The sequence below is a fragment of the Homo sapiens genome, chromosome 5 (genome assembly GCF_000001405.40).
Source record: "Homo sapiens chromosome 5, GRCh38.p14 Primary Assembly".
NCBI lineage: Eukaryota > Metazoa > Chordata > Mammalia > Primates > Hominidae > Homo > Homo sapiens.
In genome coordinates, this window is record NC_000005.10 from 32,339,362 (window position 1) to 32,358,277 (window position 18,916).

Below are 18,916 nucleotides of genomic sequence, written 5' to 3' on the forward strand. Positions count from 1 at the left end.
CTTTTGGTGGACAAATTTCCTTTCATGAATCCTTTCACGACTTACACAGACCATCTATGACATGTTTGGACTTTGACTTGTCCTGAACATCTCTGTTTTTAAATAACCAGTTATTTTATTTTAGGACAATAATTTACTATACAAGGTCTTTCTTATATAAAATCTCTTTTCTTTATAACCTTCTTCGTATAGTTAGGGAGCACTGTTAATTCCACATGTTTGCAGGCCTTATGTAGAATCTAACACTCCAAAATAAATTGAACAATTTTTAAAAGTCAAGGAAGCAGTTTATGACCTTAAAGAATTTAGTAAAGCTAATATCCAATCTGTATAATTTAGATCAAATGTTTTTATTTTGTCAATAATCTTTAAAGCTGTTTTTATTTCCCAAAGAGCACTAAAGTTGTGTGAACTAAAAGACATTATAGTTTTTATTTTTTTCAAAATATTTGATTTACGTACTTACTTTTCTTTAAGGCAATTAATTAGAGCTCTTTCATATAAACATTATACACACAACACATATATAACTACACAGACAGAAGAAGATTAAGTAGCTGTAATATTTTTTCATTTACATTTTTAAGTTTCTTAATTGGATTACTGGCTTTTGGGTAGAGTCCTTGGAAGAAACAGCTACGAAAGCATGTAGTTTCTATGGCCTAATAAGTAGGCACAGATGGAGGGCAAAAACAAATCCCCAAAATTAAGGGTCTCTTTTTTTTTTTTTGAGATGGAGTCTCACTCTGTCGCCTGGGCTAGAGTGCAGTGGCGCAATCTCAGCTCACTGCAACCTCTGCCTCCTGGGTACAAGCATTTCTCCTGACTCAGTCTCCCAAGTAGCTGGCATTACAGGTGCCCACGACTATACCCAGATAAATGTTTTGTATTTTTAGTAGAGATGGGGTTTCACCATGTTGGTCAGGTTGGTCTCGAACTCCTGACCTCATGATTCTCCCACCTTAGCCTCCCAACATGCTGGTATTACAGGTGTGAGCCACTGTGCCCAGCCAAGGGTCTCATTTTCATATTGTATCCTGGATCCCCCTACAAAGCGAAATGCTATTGGAGAAGACAGTGTAATGTTACTACTATGTATTTCATTATATGGCAACCTAAAGCCAATCAATCCATTTTGTAATTAGTCCATCTCCCATGAGAGTCTCATTCTCACTGGGGGTGGAGACATCTCCATACTTCTCAGGTGGCCAAGAGTATGTTTCTCTGATACAAATGTGTAGAGCTGAGTGTTTCCCCATAACTGTCATTAGACACCCCTAAAAATATATTTGCTACCTAGTTATTACACACCAAATCTCTTTTATAATGTAAAGTAATTTCTGATAACCCCAAAAGTAAAAAATGTCAGATAATGTAATACAAAACAGACCAGAGACTTAGATTTTGAAAGGAGTCTATCCACTTTCAATTTTGGGGATTTCATGAAGAAAACAGGTTTTTCCAAAAACTGGATCTCTAGCATCTCCTGTTTTTCCCAAAGGGTCTCAGGCTGTTAGGGCTTGAATATCTGTTTTTAATTAAGCTGACTTTTAACAATAGTGCTCTTTTTAAAAAATCCTTTTAAATTTCTTTTAAATTACCCTACTTTAGCCAGGTCAAATGGCCAATATTTCTGACTTTTAAACTTTACCAAGTAACCTTACAGGTGTTCTGAGAAAGGAAAATTCAAGATGGTTACAGAAGGGGAAGACAATCAACAAATGGTAATGGTTATGCAGATATTAAACAAGAAAGGACTTATTTTCTAAGTCAGGAATTGAACCTGGGCTGTCACTATGAAAGGACAAAATCTTAGTTACTGAGTTACAGCACTGGGTGGTTTATATTGCCCTTTCCGGAAGGAGTCTAGAGTAGTTAATTTTGAGCTTGTAAAGGCTTTTAACTACTTAAGGTAATTTTTAGAGTTAACTATGACATGAACTTTAAAATTCTTCTTCCTTGGAAGGCGGAGACCAAGAGAAAGTACCGCCATGTTCTCACAAAGTCAAATTCCCGAGGACATAAAACAAGATGGAGACCTCATCCAGTTTTCTTGTTTGTTTATTTCAGTAAAGTTTGTTATTAACCAGTTTGTTGAGCCATCTTGAGCAGCGGGCTTATGGGGTTTTAAGCCCATGTTCTATCCTAAACAACTCCTCTTGGCTGGACGCGGTGGCTCACGCCTGTAATCCCAGCACTTTGGGAGGCCAAGGCGGGTGGATCATGAGGTCAGGAGTTCAAGACCAGCCTGGCCAAGATGGTGAAACCCCATCTCTACTAAAAATACAAAAATTACAGCGCACCTGTTATCCCAGCTACTCGGGAGGCTGAGGCAGGAGAATCGCTTGAACCTGCGGGGGGGCGGAGGTTGCAGGGAGCTGAGATCGCGCCACTGCACTCCAGCCTGGGTGACAGAGCGAGGCTCCATCTTGGAAAAAAAAAAAAAAAAGAACTCCTCTTTATGACAGAACGATATAGGAAGACACATAAAGCTTACCAGATTGGCTATAGTTCAAGAGTAGCCTCATAAATCCTTTTTTCATTAATCAAAACTTCACAGGAGATAATGATTTTTATCATTCATTCAACCAGTTTGTACAGGGAGAGAGAGGCAGCAGTCTGACTGGTAAGAAATTTTTACTCTTTTGCTGACATGTCGGGCTTCCGGGTTCCCTTTCCCCAAGTGGCCCTAGTGACCTGCTGGCTGCACCACGGCCCTGGGGGCCAAGCTGCAACACAAAGGAAAATAATATTTTTTCTGTCTCATGGAACCACAGGCAAAAGCCTCTCAATTTTGCAAGTTGCCACCCAAGTGGCTGCATGGAGGCATCAAATATTAAACTGGCAAGGCTCTGTCATCTTTAACCCATTTTTAACCAAAAGGGACTTTACTGAGCGGAGGGCCTCTAACCCAGTGCCATTCTTTACTCGGGTAAAATGTACCCCATTACTTATTCAAAGTCAGTCAGTTGGTGCTGCAGTCTATTTCCTTTAGATGGGGATAGTAACTAAGTTAAAAGGTTAGCAGATTTTAATTTTTGGGAGTCCTCATTTTTAAATGTACTTCAGTCTGTCGTGGTTCATTCAGAATGTTCCACTGTAAGTTACCTTTAGTAAGATTTCATCATTTCTGTAAGACTATGCTGTTTTCTGTGTTTAACGTGTAAGTTGGAAGGAGCTCAGTTTTCCAGAAATTAAGGATCCCACCTTTACCTAAAATATTGGCTTTACTCTCAGGTGCCCTTGATTAACTCAGTCAATGATTTTTTTTTTTTTTGCTACCTGAGCATATAAGAAAAATGAAACAAAGGGGTAGAACGCAAACATCCCCGTGAATTTTTAAAAGTCAAATCTTACACCCCCTGTAATATTACCATTTACCACCAGTTTCTTTCTGATTCAGTCAGTTGTAAGAGGCATCTCACTGGATCCAAGCCAAGTAATTATCCACTTCTGGTACCATCTGTTAAAAGAAAAAATTCAGCCAAATTAAATTTAAGGGAGTTTAATTGAGCAATGAATGATTCACGAATCGAGCAGCCCCCAGAATCACAGCAGATTCAGAGAGACTCCAGCACAGCCAAGTGGTGGAAGAAGATTTATAGACAAAAATGGGAAGTGACACCTATGGGTGATGGGACTAGGCATGTGCAGGTTCATGGGACATAGAGAACCTTTTTCTTCCCAAAGGGGGAAACTTGAGAGCTAATGGGATGCTGGAGAAGATCTCTTTGCTAGTGACAAGTGGCTGTCTGACTTTTGATTCAGCGTTGCTGCAGAGGGTGGGTGTTTCTCTGACCTTGCCTTCCCCACCCTGCGGCAGGCAATGCTTTTTTCCCTTTCTCTATTTTTTCTATTACTGAGGGCAATTGTCTGCTCTTTGATCTTGCCCAGAGACCACATGCTGAAATTCCTGGTCAGAAGGTCATTTCACCCCACTCTGAGTGGCTTGAGTTTGTAACCATGTGGCAGCACTTTCTTTTGGTCTCTGCCATTCAGTGGACCACAAATTTGGAATTCATGTCATAGTAAGCTCTAAAGATTATCTTGAGCAGTTAAAAGTCATTGCAAGCTCAAAATTGGCTGCTCTAAGCCCCTTCTGGGAAGAGCAATGGCAACTGCCCAATGCTGTAACCTGTGAGGTTACTTTTGGTAAAATTCAAAAGCCAGAAATATTGGCAGTGTAGCCTGGCTAAAGTCAGGCAATAAGAGATTTAAGAGGACTTTTTTTTTTTAAGAGCTCTATGGATAAAAGTCAGCTTATTCAAGCTGTAACAGTCTGGGACTCCTTGGGAAAAACAGAGGAGGTGCTACAGACCCTGTTTTGAGAAAAACATCTGTTTTCCTCATGAAATCCCGGGAATTAGAAGTGAATAGATCCTTCTCAAAATCTAAGGCTCTGTTCTGTTTTGCTTTGCATTATCTGTCGTTTTTTATTTTGGGGGGTATCAGAAATTATTTTACATTATGAGAGTGCTTTGATATGTAATAGCTAGGTAGGAAATATACTTTGGGGATGGCTAATGGCAGTTATGGGAGGATACTCAGCTCTTTGTACGTTTGGATTAGAGAAGCATGCTGTTGGCCACCTGGAAGGTAGGGCAATATCCCAACCCCAACACTGAGAGATAAGACTCCCATGGGGAATGGGCTAACTGGCTTCAGATTGTTTTGCAATGAAATGTAAGTTGCCAGGCATGGTGGCTCACGCCTGTTAATTATAGCACTTTGGGAAGCCAAGGCAGGCAGATTGCTTGAGGTCAAGAGCTGGAGACCAGCCTGGCCAACATGGTAAAACGCCATCTCTACTAAAAATACAAAAATTAGCCAGGCATGGTAGTGCGTTCCTGTAATCTCAGTTACTAAGGCATGAGAATTGCTTGAACCTGGGAGGTGGAGGTTGCAGTGAGCCGAAGTTGTGCCACTGCACTCCAGCCTGGGCGACAGAGTGAGACTCAAAGAAATGCACGGTAAAATCTTTGCATTGTCTTGTTCTGTTGCGTTTCTCTTTTGGGGATCCAGGATTCAGTATAAAAATGGGACCCTTCATTTTGGGGGTCTGTTTTTGTCTTCCAGCTGTGCCTGTCATAGAAACTGTATGCTTTCCTGGCCTTTCCCTCCAAGGGCTCTACCCTGAAGCCCATAATCCAATTAAGAAACTGGCAAATGAGGCTGGGTGAGGTGGCTTATACCTGTAATTCTAGCACTTTGGGAGGCCAAGGCAGGTGGATCATTTAAGGCCAGGAGTTTGAGACCAGCCTGGCCAACGTGGTGAAACCTTGTCTCTACTAAAAATACAGAAAATTGGCTGGGCCTGGTGGCTCATGCCTATAATCCTAGCACTTTGGGAGGCTGAGGCGGGGGCAGGTCACGAGGTCAGGAGATTGAGACCAGCCTGGCCAACATGGTGAAACCCCATCTCTACTAAAAATACAAAAATTAGCTGGGCGTAGTGGCGCATGCCTGTAGTCCCAGCTACTTGGGAGGCTAAGGCAGGAGAATTGCTTGAACCTGGGAGGTGGAGGTTGCAGTGAGCTGAGATCGCACTACTGCTTTCCAGCCTGGAGACAGAGCAGGACTCTGTCTCAAAAAAAAAAACAAAAAAATTTAGCTGGGCGTGGTGGCAAGCGCCTGTAATTCCGGCTGCTCAGGAGATTGAGGCGTGAGAATCGCTTGAAGTTGGGAGGTGGAGGTTGCAGTGAGCTGAGATGGTGCCACTGCACTCCAGCCTAGGGACAGAGCAAGACTCTGTCTCGAAAAAAAAAAAAAAAAAAAAAAAGTCAAGCTCAGTGGCTCACACCTGTAATCCCAGCTCTTTGGGTGGCCAAGGCGGGCAGATCATGAGGTCAAAAGATCAAGACCATCCTGGCCAACATGGTGAAACCCGTCTCTACTAAAAATACAAGAATTAGCTGGGCGTGTTGGCACTTGCCTGTAATCCCAGCTACTCAAGAGGCTGAGACAGGAGAATCGCTTGAACCTGGGAGGTGGAAGTTGCAGTAAGCCAAGATCGTGCCATTGCACTCCAGCCTGGTGACAAAGTGAGACTCCGTCTCAAAAAAAAAAGAAACTGGCAAATGAAAAATCTTACAACTACTGGATCTTCTTCTCTCTACCTATTTATATGTGCTGTGTGTGATGTTTATATATGAAAGAGCTGATTAATTGGCTTATAAAATAAGAAGAGCTTAATTCAAATATTTCGTCAGAAAAGTAAAAGGTGCAATGTCTTTTAGTTCATGTGACTTAAGTAATTTTTGGGAAGTAAAAACAGTTTTACATGCAAGGTGTGTAAGAAAAGTGAAATGTGTTTTTGGTAAAATATCTATCTATATCTATCTATCTATCTATCTATCTATCTATCTATCTATCATCTATCTATCTATCATCTATCTATCATCTATCTATCTATATCTATCTATATATATATTTTTTGAGACTGAGTCTCGCTGTGTCAGCCAGGCCCAGGCTGGAGTGCAGTGGCGTGATCTCTGCTCACTGCAAGCTCCGCCTCCCGGGTTCACGCCATTCTCCTGCCTCAGCCTCCCGAGTAGCTGGGACTACAGGTGCCTGCCACCACGCCTGGCTAATTTTTTGTATTTTTAGTAGAGATGGGGTTTCACCGTGTTAGCCAGGATGGTCTTGATCTCCTGACCTCATGATCTGCCTGCTTCAGCCTCCCAAAGTGCTGGGATTATAGGCATGAGCCACTGCACCCACCCCAAGTAAAATATTTTAAGAAGGCATGGGAATGTGGGGTTTTTTTTTTTGCTTAAAGGGTTAAATGATTGTTTCAAGTTAGGATAAATCTGAAGGTTTGTGAAAAATTAATGTTTTTTTTTGTTTTTTGTTTTTTGTTTGTTTGTTTTTTGAGACAGAGTTTCACTCTTGTTGCCCAGGCTGGAGTACAATGGCGTGATCTTGGCTCACCGCAACCTCTGCCTCCCGGGTTCAAGAGATTCTCCTGTCTCAGCCTCCTGAGTAGCTGGGATTACAGGTGCCCACCGCCACGCCCAGCTAATTTTTTTCTATTTTTAGTAAAGACGGGGTTTTGCCATGTTGGCCAAGCTAGTCTCGAACTCCTGACCTCAGTTGATCCGCCTGCCTCGGCCTCCCAAAGTGCTGGGATTACAGGCATGAGCCCCTGCACCCAGCCAAGGTTTTATTAAGAATTGGGTTTAACATTAATAGTACATTAATGCAAAGCTGAAACTGGTTTATTTGGTATAAAAATCATATAGGAAGCATTGCCAAATATGAAATGGTGGCTTTCTTTGCACTATATTTGTATAAATACATTATTGGTATGTGTTCCAAAATTATGGGAAACTCCTATAATTCTGATATGACATAGTGTATGTTATTAATAATTATAATTGTTATGTAAAATTATTGTGTACCATAGAGGTAACCAAAATTCCTAATCCATTGTGGCTTAAATAATGGCTGGTCTAAGAGTTTTTGTCATCCACAGACTATTGTTGTTTTGTTTTAATCCTCTTCAAAAGGTGGTGTATAATTAGCTGTAGGACTTTGACAAGTGCTGTTGAATGCAGGTTCCTGACAACTTTGAAGACTGTTACACTAGAATAGAGGAAAAAACTTTCAGGACTCTCATGGAGAGTTGAAATGTTCATGAATATCAACAGGAGTTAACTTCAAGGACTGAACTAATGGAAGACTGAAGTAATCTTTTTTGACCTTTTGCTTAAAATATTGCTAATCCTTTGTTTTGTTTTTCGGAGTCAAGACAACTTTTCTTTTGAGCTATTTACAGCTTTTAACAATTGAGTAAAGTATATTCCCATGAACAAAATTTGGAGTATATTTGTTTTCTCTCTACCTGATTTATCTTTTCAAAAAAGCTTATTTTTGCAAGCAAATCGGTCTTAGTATGATTTGTCTTTAGTAAAAATGGAAGACTGGAAAGAGAAAAAAATCAGGTTTCAAGAACAATGGTACACCTGTGATTAGATTCTAGTCTCATCAGTATTTTTTAAGTTTTTTTTTATTCTGCAATTTAGACCGACTGCTTATTCCTGTGAACCAACCAGTGATCTTTGGCTACAGCTTAGAAGAAACAAGAGAGATGGATGGGTACTGTGAAAAAAGTCTGGATAAGTATTCTAATTCTAGGCACATATTGGAATCAGCTGGCAACCCTGTATCAGCTTGGTTCCAACAGTTGCCCAGTTCATGGAAAGTCTTCTATTTAGTTTACTTGGGATAATTTTACTTATTTTGCTTTACTGTTGTGGAATATATTGCTGTTGTACTCTTTGTGTAGGAATGCAGGATAAGCTTACTGAATGTTTTCTTAAATTGAACACTTATTAATCTTCTAGATATTACCTTTTGTTGGAACTCAAAGTTATGAATGGCCCTCACCATACTGATGCTTTCTTACTGAGTGCCTCTCTACCACAAATACAAGAGACCCTAATTTGTTAACCAGGAATATCATTGCCCTTACTCACCCTGAAGAAGTTACAGAAGATGGATCTTTGTCCCTCTAGAACTCAGGATTAAGGGTTTTCTTATAAAAGGCAGGGGGAAAATATGTCAGAGGCATTCAAACCAGAGCAACTCCATCTTGAATAGAAGCTGGGTAAAATAAGGCTATGGGCCTATGGGCCTGCATTTTCAGGAGGTTAGGTATTTGTAGTCACAGGAAGAGATAGGAGGTTGGCACAAGATACAGGTAACAAAGACTTTGCTGATAAAACAGCATGCAGTAAAGAAGCTGGCCAAATCCTACCAAAACAAAGATGGTGATGAAAGTGACCTTTGGTCATCCTCACTGCTCATTATACATTAATTATAATGCATTAACGTGCTTAAAGACACTCCTACCAGCACCATGACAGTTTACAAATGCCATGGCAATGTCAGGAAGTTGCCCTACATGGTCTAAAAATGGGAGAAACCCTCAGTTCCAGGAATTGCCCACCCCTTTCCCAGAAAACTCATAAATAATCCACCCTTTGTTTAGCATATAATCAAGAAGTAACAATAAGTATAAGCAGTTGAGCAGCCCAGGCTGCTGCTCTGCCTATGGAGTAGCCATTCTTTATCCCTTTACTTTCCTAATAAACTTGTTTTCACCTTACTCTATGGACTTGCCCTGAATTCTTTCTCATGTGAGATCCAAGAAATTGGGACCCCTTTCCAGTAACAATACAATTAGAAATTTTGTCATCTAGAAATATCTTATTTTCCTTTTAGCTCATCTATGTTTTCTTCTTCTTCAACTCCCAATGCCCTTTCTTCTACCTCTTTCTCTTAGTCCAGAGAGCAGACAGGATGACAGGCAGGCTACTCCAACGTGACTGAGATTTTCAGAAGGTAATGGATTTGGTCTCTCCAATGAAAGGATGGATTTTCTTAAGGCTGTAGCTTGCTTAAATTTCAGGCCTTCTTCCTGATATTTCTTTTGAAAAAAATCAGTGAAGAAAGTGCAAGTGTTTCTCTGTGGCTGTCTGTTACATTAAGTAGAGGAGCATTAAATATCCTAATGTATAGGAAATACCTGATTACAGAATTTAAAAATTTAGAATGGAAAATAACTAGAGATTGTTCCCAAACTTAACAGATACGGTTCCATGTTAAAGTTGGAAGAATACATAGGTAAAATGTCTGGGGTCTGAGATATAATAAAATCAAATGCCAACAGGGCTAGCCTGGTAGACAAATAGGAAATGATGGAGGCTGTGGTAAACTGTTCAGAACAGGTTATGTCTAAAATTTATCTTCTAAAGGGAGTGGCCCCTACTCTCAGCTTTAGCTAATTGTTACCATGTAGAAACACAAGCCCTGTGTCATCAAGTTTTCTCATTTTTCTTTTTCTTTTTTTGAGATGGAGTCTTGCTCTGTTGCCCAGGCTGGAGTGCAGTGGCATGATCTTGGCTCACTGCAACCTCCACCTCCTAGGTTCAAGAGATTCTCTTCCCTCAGCATCCCAAGTAGCTGGGCCTACAGGCATGCACCACCACACTGGCTAAGTTTTGTATTTTCAGTAGAGACAGGGTTTCACCATGTTGGCCAGGCTGTTCTCGAACTCCTGACCTCAGGTGATCTGCCCACTGGGGCCTCCCAAAGTGTTGGCATTACAGGCGTGAGCCACTGTACTCAGCCTGAACTCTTAATCTTCATGTATTTTTAGAGTAATCAGTTCCTACAATCAATTTAATCTTTTCATACTTTTATTCCGTATTTGATTAAATTTTATGAAATTTAATCAATTTCATACTTTTATTCCATAGGTTGCTTCCTTTTTTTAGAAAAAGGCTTTCACATTAGGTTTGTTGCTAAACTGAATAGTCCTTTCCAAACTAAAGACCCAATTTCTTTAATATTAAATAGCATGTCTCACTTGGGATTATATTAGAATGAGGTGAATATATTAGCTTTGTATTTAACATAGAATCAGCTTAATTAATGTTAAAAAATATTTTTCAGGCCAGGCGCGGTGGTTCACACCTGTAATCCCAGCACTTCGGGAGGCCAAGGCCGGCAGATCACTTGAGGTCAGGAAATGGAGAGCAGCTTAGACAACATGGTGAAACTCTGTCTCTACTAAAAATACAAAAATTAGCCAGGTGTGGTGGCACTTGCCTGTAATTCCAGCTACTCGGGAGGCTGAAGCAGAATGGCTTGAACCTGGGAGGTAGAGGTTGCAGGGAGCCATGATTGTGCCACTGCACTCCAGCTTGGGGGACAGAGCAAAACTCTGTCTCAAAAAAAAAAAAAAAAAAAAAAAATTCAGGCTTTAAGTTAGTAATATAACTGTTTCATATTTCCAGATTTTATTTTACACCCAATATTATTACACTAAGCAAGATAAAGGAAGACTAAAATTACCGAGACTACAGGTAATCAATAAAATTCACCGGGGCCTGTTGTGGGGTGGGGGGAGGGGGGAGGGATAGCATTAGGAGATATACCTAATGTTAAATGACGAGTTAATGGGTGCAGCACACCAACATGGCACATGTATATATATGTAACAAACCTGCATGTTGTGCACATGTACCGTAAAACTTGAAGTATCAAAAAAAAATTCCTTAGGGAATGGGGATATTACGATTTGCTTAATATTCCGATTAACATACTGATAACTATATATACACGATTTGGCTGATGACAAAATACACTTAATACTAAATTTAAAATATAGTTTAGTTTTGCATTGTATAGTACATTATGGTCACTGCTATAAAGCATTTATTAAAGCATGATCCACAATTTGTATCAGAACCATGTACATTTTTTGTTTGTTTGTTTTAGACGGAGTCTCGCCCTGTTGCCCAGGCTGGAGTGCAGTGGTGCGATCTTGGCTCACTGCAACCTCCACCTCCTGGGTTCAAGTGATTCTCCTGCCTCAGCTTTCCGAGTAGCTGGCATTACTGGTGCGCGCCACCATGCCTGGCTAATTTTTCTATCTTTAGTAGAGATGGGGTTTCACCATGTTGGTCAGGCTGGTCTCGAACTCCTGACCTCGTGACCTGCCCGCCTCAGCCTCCCAAACTGTTGGGATTACAAGCGTGAGCCACCGCTCCCTGGCTTTTTTTTTTTTTTTTTTTTTGAGACAGAGTCTTGCTGTCACCCAGGCTGGAGTGCAGTGGCACGATCTTGGCTTACTGCAAGCTCCACTTCCTGGGTTCACACCGTTCTCCTGCCTCAGCCTCCCGAGTAGCTGGGATTACAGGCTCCCACCACCATGCCTGGCTAATTTTTGTATTTTTAGTAGAGAGGGGGTTTCATCATATTGGCCAGACTGGTCTCAAACTCCTGACCTCAGGAGACCCACCTGCCTCAGTTTCCCAAAGTGTTGATTATAGGCATCAGCCACCGTGCCCAGCTTTTTTTTTTTTTTTTGAGATGGATTTTTGCTCGTCACCCAGGCTGGAGTGCAATGGCGTAGTCTCCCAGATAAAATTTAAGAAAAACAAAAAATCTAATTTGGAATGATCCTATAGTGATTGTTAAAAATGCAGTTTCTCTATGTGTACTGATACATAATAACCTCCAAGACTCCAAGATACCTTAAATAAAAAGCAGCAAGGTGTAGATCATACACGGTATGCTATCATTTTTGTAAAGAACAAACACGATGCATCCATTCATGCTAACACATACAGTGATCATCTGTGGAAGGACACACAAAGAGCTGACACTATCTCTTGGAAGGGAAGTAACATAATTGGAAGGCAAGGTAAAGGAGAATACTTGTTTTATGCTATGTATCACTTTATACCTGTCAACTTTTTTTATATCATGTGTATGAACCACCCATTCAAGTAAATTACCTAATATAAAGTCATCTTAAATTGCAGATTCTCAGGCTTTTCTGGCCTATCTCAATAAGAATCTTTGCAGTTAGGATTTAGAACTCTTAACTTTTTAGAACAGGGTTTTGCCACGTTGCCCAGGCTAGTCTTGAACTCCTGGGCTCAAGGAATCTGCCTGCCTTGGCCTCCCAAACTGTTAGGATTACAGACATGAGCCACCATGCCTGGCCGGAAATCTTAACTTTTAGAATGTTCCTCAGATGACTCATGAACAGTCAAGTTTCAGACCACTGCTATGAACATTATCATCTTTGTATGACCTATATTCGTCCTTTTTTTTGTTGTTTTTTTTGAGACGGAGTTTTGCTCTTGTTGCCCAGGCTGGAGTGCAATGGCATGATCTCAGCTCACTGCAACCTCCGCCTCTTGGTTTTAAGCCATTCTCCTGCCTCAGCCTCCTGAGTAGCTGGGATTACAGGTGTGCACCACCACGCCCGGCTAATTTTTTGTATCTTTAGTAGAGACGGGGTTTCACCATGGCCAGGCTGGACTTGAACTTCTGACCTCAGGTGATCTGCCCGCCTCGGCCTCCTAGAGTGCTGGGATTACAGGCGTGAGCCACTGTGCCTGGCCAGTATTTGTCCTTTACTGGGAAATTTTTTTTTTAATAAAACGGCTCTGTCAAATTCAAAAAATGGTGGCTCCTCTAAAGGAACTGCTTATAAATTCATAACATAATAATGTAATGACCATGCAAAAACAAGACTTCTGCTTTTTTTCAGTAAGCAGAAAAATTATTTACAATATTGTTGACTTAAAAAAATCAGGCCAGCCTGTAATCCCAGCACTTTGGAAGAACAAGGCAGGTGGATCACTTGAGGCCAGGAGTTCACAAGGCCAGCCTGGCCAACATGGCAAAACCCTGTCACTATTAAAAATACAAAAATTAGCTGGGCGTGGTGGTGCACGTCTGTAATACCAGCTACTCGGGAGGCCGAGGCACGAGAATTACTTGAACCTGAAAGGCAGAGGTTGCAGTGAGCCAAGATAGCGCCACTGAACTCCAGCCTGGGTGACAACAGCGAGACTGTCTCAAACAACAACAAAAAAATCAGGCCAGGTGTGGTGGCTCATGCCTGTAAACCCAGTGCTTTAGGAGGCCGAGGTGGGTAAGGACTGCTTGAGACCACAAGTTTGAGACCAGCCTGGGCAATACAGCAAGGCCTCCATCTCTACAAAAAAAGAGCTGGGTGTAGTGACGCACACCTCTAGACCTAGCTACTTGAGAGGCTTAAGCGGGAGAATTGCTTAAGCTCAGGGGTTCGAGGCTGCTGTGACTATGATCGTGCTACTGCACCCCAGCCTGGGGGACAGAGCGTGACCCTGTCTCAAAAAGCAAAACAACCAAACAAAAGAACTGTCAGAGGATACTAAGGAATATTCAATCCAAGTTACTCTTTCATATAACTAATGTGGGTCTAGCCACAGCTATGAAAACAAGCTATGTAGAAAATACAGAAATAATTGTTTTAGTAAAAAACTTAAATGGTACCAATTGCATTTTTGGATGAAGACACTCAAACCAAATGCAAAATTTTGGTCCCAGATGGGCTGAAAACATCTTTAGTACATAATTGGAGGGTGAAGGAAGCAGCCTGGCAAAGTGCTGACCATGAACTTTGAAACTGTCACTTAAACAGTGACATAAGGTGTATAATCTTCATTTAGCCATTCTGGGCTCGTTTCCTCATCGAAAAAATATGATGTATACTACCTACAATTCACTTACGATAGTTTTAAATGGGAAAGTACATAAAAAGACCTAGCATGGCGCCCAGAATCAACGTGTAGTAAAGGTCAGTTCCCCTCCTTTTTTTTTTAAAGACAGGCTCTCACTCTGTCACTCAGGCTGGAGTGCAGTGGTGTGATCTCACTGCAGCCTTGACCTCCCAGGCTCAAGCAATCCTCCTGCCTCAGCCTCCCGAGTAGCTGAGACTACAGGCACGTTCTACCATGCTCAGCCAATATTTTTGTATTTTTAGTAAAGACGGGGTTTCGTCATGTTGCCCAGGCTGGTCTCAAACTCCTAAGCTCAAGCAGATCTGCCTGCCTCGGGCTCCAAAAGTGTTAGGATTACAGGCGTGAGCCATTGTGCCAGGCCAGCATTCTTCCAAGAGAATTGTTGAGGAACGAAATTCTAAAGGAGAGTAAAATGAGGCCCAGAGAAATTTACAAAGGGAAAAAAAGCCTTGTCCAAGTTAAACAGACAGTACAGGTTGAGCATATCTTAGCTGAAATGCTTGGGACCAGAAGTGTTTTGGATTGTGGAATATTTCTATCAGTTGAGTATCCCTAATCTGAAAATCTGAAATGGTCCAATGAGCATTTCCTTTGAATGTCATGTAGGCCCTCAAAAAGTTTCAGATTTTGACAATTTTCAGATTTTTAGATTAGATAATCTGTGTGTGATGAATCTGGGAGAAAAGTCTGAGTCTCCTGTTCTATTTCCCCTGTGGTCTCCTACAGTTTCCTGGCCCTCTAAGACTTTGGGGGAAGATTCTGACCCTCTAAGACTTTGGGGGTAGATTCTGACCCTAGAAAGAAATTAAGCCAATATAGTATTGAATTACAAAATTTTCTGAAAATTATGTGCTTAGACAACAAACATTTGTCAGGAATAACAAGATGCAGTACTCAATAAATTTGAATATGATTTTACTGAAGCATACATCATTTCAAAGCAAAAGTAGTTTATGTTGTCAATTCTAACATATAATACATTTAAGTCATTATATGAATTTCATTTTTTGTGTATTTCACTGTAGTGCTGTGACAACAAAATGACATCTGTGTACCAGAGCATACATATATCAACAGTAAGATGTAATTTTTCATTACATCACTGCTAGAATATTTAGCTTTGTGTAGGAGACATAAGCAGGTAAGATGGCCACACCAAATAATTTTCTGTTTTTTTCCTTAGATAATTTTTTATCAGTAATACTTTATCAACCTCACTGTTAACAGAACTGTAAATTATCTGGGTGATGGGGTGTGTGGAGAAGATCATCTGTGTTATACTGTAATAGTTGCTAGAGTAATCTCACACACACCAATAAGGAACTGTCACCATAATTAAGGGCTAGTTACTGTTGTTAGTTGTACAATGATGAAGTTCTTTTGAAAATATTGGTTAGCCCACTTATATGTGAAAAATGCCCTTTCCACTTATACACAAGAAAAAAATATTCAGAAAGTTATTTTTGGCCTTGCTATGTCAAAAAGTCAACTGTACAAAGATCTACGTGTTAAACCTAAAATTATGATTTTAAAAGTCTATTAAAAACAAGAATGTCATGCATTTTTATTATCAATTATGCAGAGGCTTTAAAACTGTTGCAAGACCATATAGTATATATTAGCTTTTATACTGCTAATGCACAACTAACAGCAAACTTGATTAGATTAACAGAACTCTGTCTTAATTACACCTTTATATATCACACTAGAGACAAATGCCACAAGATCTGCAGAAACATTCAGTTCTGAGCACTCGAATGGCAGGATAACTTTTTGTGTTGTAATCCTTCACATATAGAAAAACAAACTCTGCAGTCTCACGTTACAAAAAAACGTACTGCTGTAAAATATTAAGAAGGGGTAAAGGATACCATCTATAACAAAGTAACTTACAACTAGTGTCAAAAAGCAAACAAAACCTCTAAATTAAAATATCAAAATACACAGAGCAACTGAAGCACACATCCTGCATTAAATACAGTGAAGATTTAATAAGACAATGCACTAGTTAATAAAAGACACAAAAATAGGGGGGGAAGCTAGGGCAACCAGAAAATAAAATAAAAATAATGGGAAAAAATCGGAACTACTGTTTTCCCCCTAGTCGGAGCACATTTTTTTTTTTGGGTGTCTTTCCATTCAAATAATACCTAACACTGTACATTTTTTAATATCATAGAAAAACTTGGTTCTTCCATGAAATCCTTTAAATTCTTGATAAATTTTTCAATGTAGACATTATTATGAATGAAAAACAGCCAACAAATGGGCATCTGTTTTTTTAACACTGAAGATTTACAGACACTTTTTAAAAGTTATCATAATCTTTTTTGTCTTTTTTCCCCTCAGCTTCAAATCCATCAACTCCATCACTATCTCTTCTTCGTTTCCTGTTGTTGTGGATGTTAAAACGTTGGCTCATTTGCGGTAATGGATCCATGCCTAGAACTTTGTGTATCTGGCGGAATGCAAGGAGTCTCAATGCAAACTGCAACAAAGAGAGTCAGAATTTTGAGTTAATTGAAAAACCCCAAGTAGTAATACTTACTACATTTACCTCCCTCCAAATGCAACCTAAAAAAGCATGTGTAATGAAAGAAACATTTAAAGGAATTACTTTCACAACTGAAATAATCTGTATGTTCTCATGTTTTTATTTCCTAGCTTTTCTGTGTGCATGCCATTTTGTTATCTTAAACATTAAGTAAAAAAAAAACCAAAAAACTTTAACACACACACAAAATTACAAAAATTATGAGAAGTGACATCAAAGAAACAAGCAGGATGTTGAAAACAAAGAAAAATGGGAGCTACCTGCTTTAACAGAATGGTTGCTGATGGCTTTCCTAGGCATTTGGTAGACAGTATGTAACTTAAGAACTGTAATTATACTCATGTGGATGTACCAAACTTATTTACCTAATTTTCTACTGGTAAACACTAGGCTGGTTTCAGTATTTTTGTTTTGTTTTGTTTTTTGAGACAGAGTCTCGCTCTGTTGCCCAGGCTGGAGTGCAGTGGTGCGAGCTTGGCTCACTGCAAGCTCCGCCTCCCGGGTTCACGCCATTCTCCTGCCTCAGCCTCCCAAGTAGCTGGGACTACAGGTGCCCGCCACCACGCCTGGCTAATTTTTTTTTTTTTGTATTTTTAGTAGAGACGGGGTTTCACTGTGTTAGCCAGGATTGTCTCGATCTCCTGACCTCGTGATCCGCCCGCCTCGGCCTCCCAAAGTTCTGGGATTACAGGCGTGAGCCACTGCGCCCGGCCTCCAAGTATTTTTATTACTGTATTACAATGAATGCTTGTTTTAAGATGTTTCTGTGCACTTAATGTGACAAGTTCTGGAGAAAGAACTTTTATTAATCAGTGGGACCGCTGAACATATAAAAGTGATGAGTACTAACAAATGAAGCTCCCCAAAATTTATACTGATTAATATATCCACTAGTAATATGTATGCAAGTCTGCTTCCCCCTTCTGGATACTATAAACAGAAAAATATTCTCACAAGTATGATGGGCAAAACAGTATCTAATTGTTATTTACAACATTTTTGAGACATGGTCTTACTCTGTTGCCCAGGCTGGAGTGCAGTGGTGCCATCACAACTCACTGCAACCTCGACCTCCCTGGGCTCAGATCTCACTCAGCCTCCCGAGTAGCCAGGAACACAGGCTCACACCAACACACCTGGCTCATTTTTCTATTTTCTGTAGAGACGGGGTATTTTCGCCATGTTGCCCAGGCTGGTCTTGAACTCTGCTCACCTGCTAGGATTACAGGCTTGAGCTATCATGACTGGCTATAACTTGTATTTATTTATTTATTTTTTGAGACAGAGTCTTGCTCTGTTGCCCAGGTTGGAGTGCAGTGGCGCGATCTCAGCTTACTGCAACCTCCGCCTCTAGGGTTCAAGTGATTCTCCTGCCTCAGCCTCCAAAGCAGCTGGGATCACAGGTGCATACCACCACGCCAGGCTAACTTTTGTATTTTTAGTAGAGATGGGGTTTCACCATGTTGGCCAGGCTGGTCTTGAACTCCTGACCTCCGGAGATCTGCCTGCCTTGGCCTCCCGAAGTGCTGGGATTACAGGTGTGGGCCACCAGGGCCAGCCAACTTGTATTTTTTAATCAATCAGTGAGGTGCAGCATATTTTTGCTGGCTCATTTCCCTAAGTTTAAAGATACCATATGAAATTTCCAATAATATCCTTCATGACTTCCTGTATTTACAGCCTTCTTAAAAAGATCTTGCCTATGTAAAAATTATATTTTTCTTAATACTTTGATAATTTATGTGTGGCTCCTTAAGTCAGCTGGCATTTACTTGTATGTATGTATAGCTTAATTTTTTCCTTAGATGATTAGCCAGTTATCTCAATACCACTTTGCTGATGATTCATCTTTTTCCACTGATTTGAAGCATCAGGTCTGTCATACATTAATTCCCTTATATCTAATGGTCTACTTCAAGGTTCTTCCATTCCAAAGGTTTATCTGTCTACTTCTGTGCCATAACTACAGTTTAAATTTCTGTTGGTTTATAGGATGTTTTGATATCTGGTAGAGTTGAACTTTTCTTAGCAATTCTCTTGTATTTCCAATTCCAAATGAAAATTAAAATTGGCTGAATGTGATGGCTCATGCCTGTAATCTCAGCACTCTGGAAGGCCAAGGTGGAAGGATCGCTTAAGTCAGGAGTTTGAGACCAGCCTGGCCAACATGGTGTAACCCCATCTCTACTAAAAATAGAAAAATTAGCCGGGTGTGGTGGCATGCACCTGTAGTCCCAGCTACTTTGGAGGCTGAGGCAGGAGTATCGCTTGA

General features: G+C 40.4%; 1 protein-coding gene across 2 annotated transcripts in view, besides 1 other annotated feature; it reads right to left on the reverse strand.

The window, feature by feature from the left end:
• Nucleotides 548–748: a silencer, noted in NCBI's record as "peak5220 fragment used in MPRA reporter construct". NCBI's record gives its function as "represses an SCP1 promoter by STARR-seq MPRAs in K562 erythroleukemia cells {active_cell/tissue: K562}" and the evidence as "EXISTENCE:reporter gene assay evidence [ECO:0000049][PMID:32103011]".
• Nucleotides 14,989–18,916, reverse strand: part of ZFR (zinc finger RNA binding protein) — a 90,391-nt gene continuing 86,463 nt past the window's right edge. For both annotated transcript variants that reach the window (NR_144318.2, NM_016107.5), the window contains one exon: nucleotides 14,989–16,578. Coding sequence is in view for 1 of the 2 variants with exons in the window: in NM_016107.5 (NP_057191.2) it covers nucleotides 16,399–16,578 (180 nt within the window). In the remaining variant the exon portion in view is untranslated. The remainder of the gene's footprint in view (nucleotides 16,579–18,916) is intronic.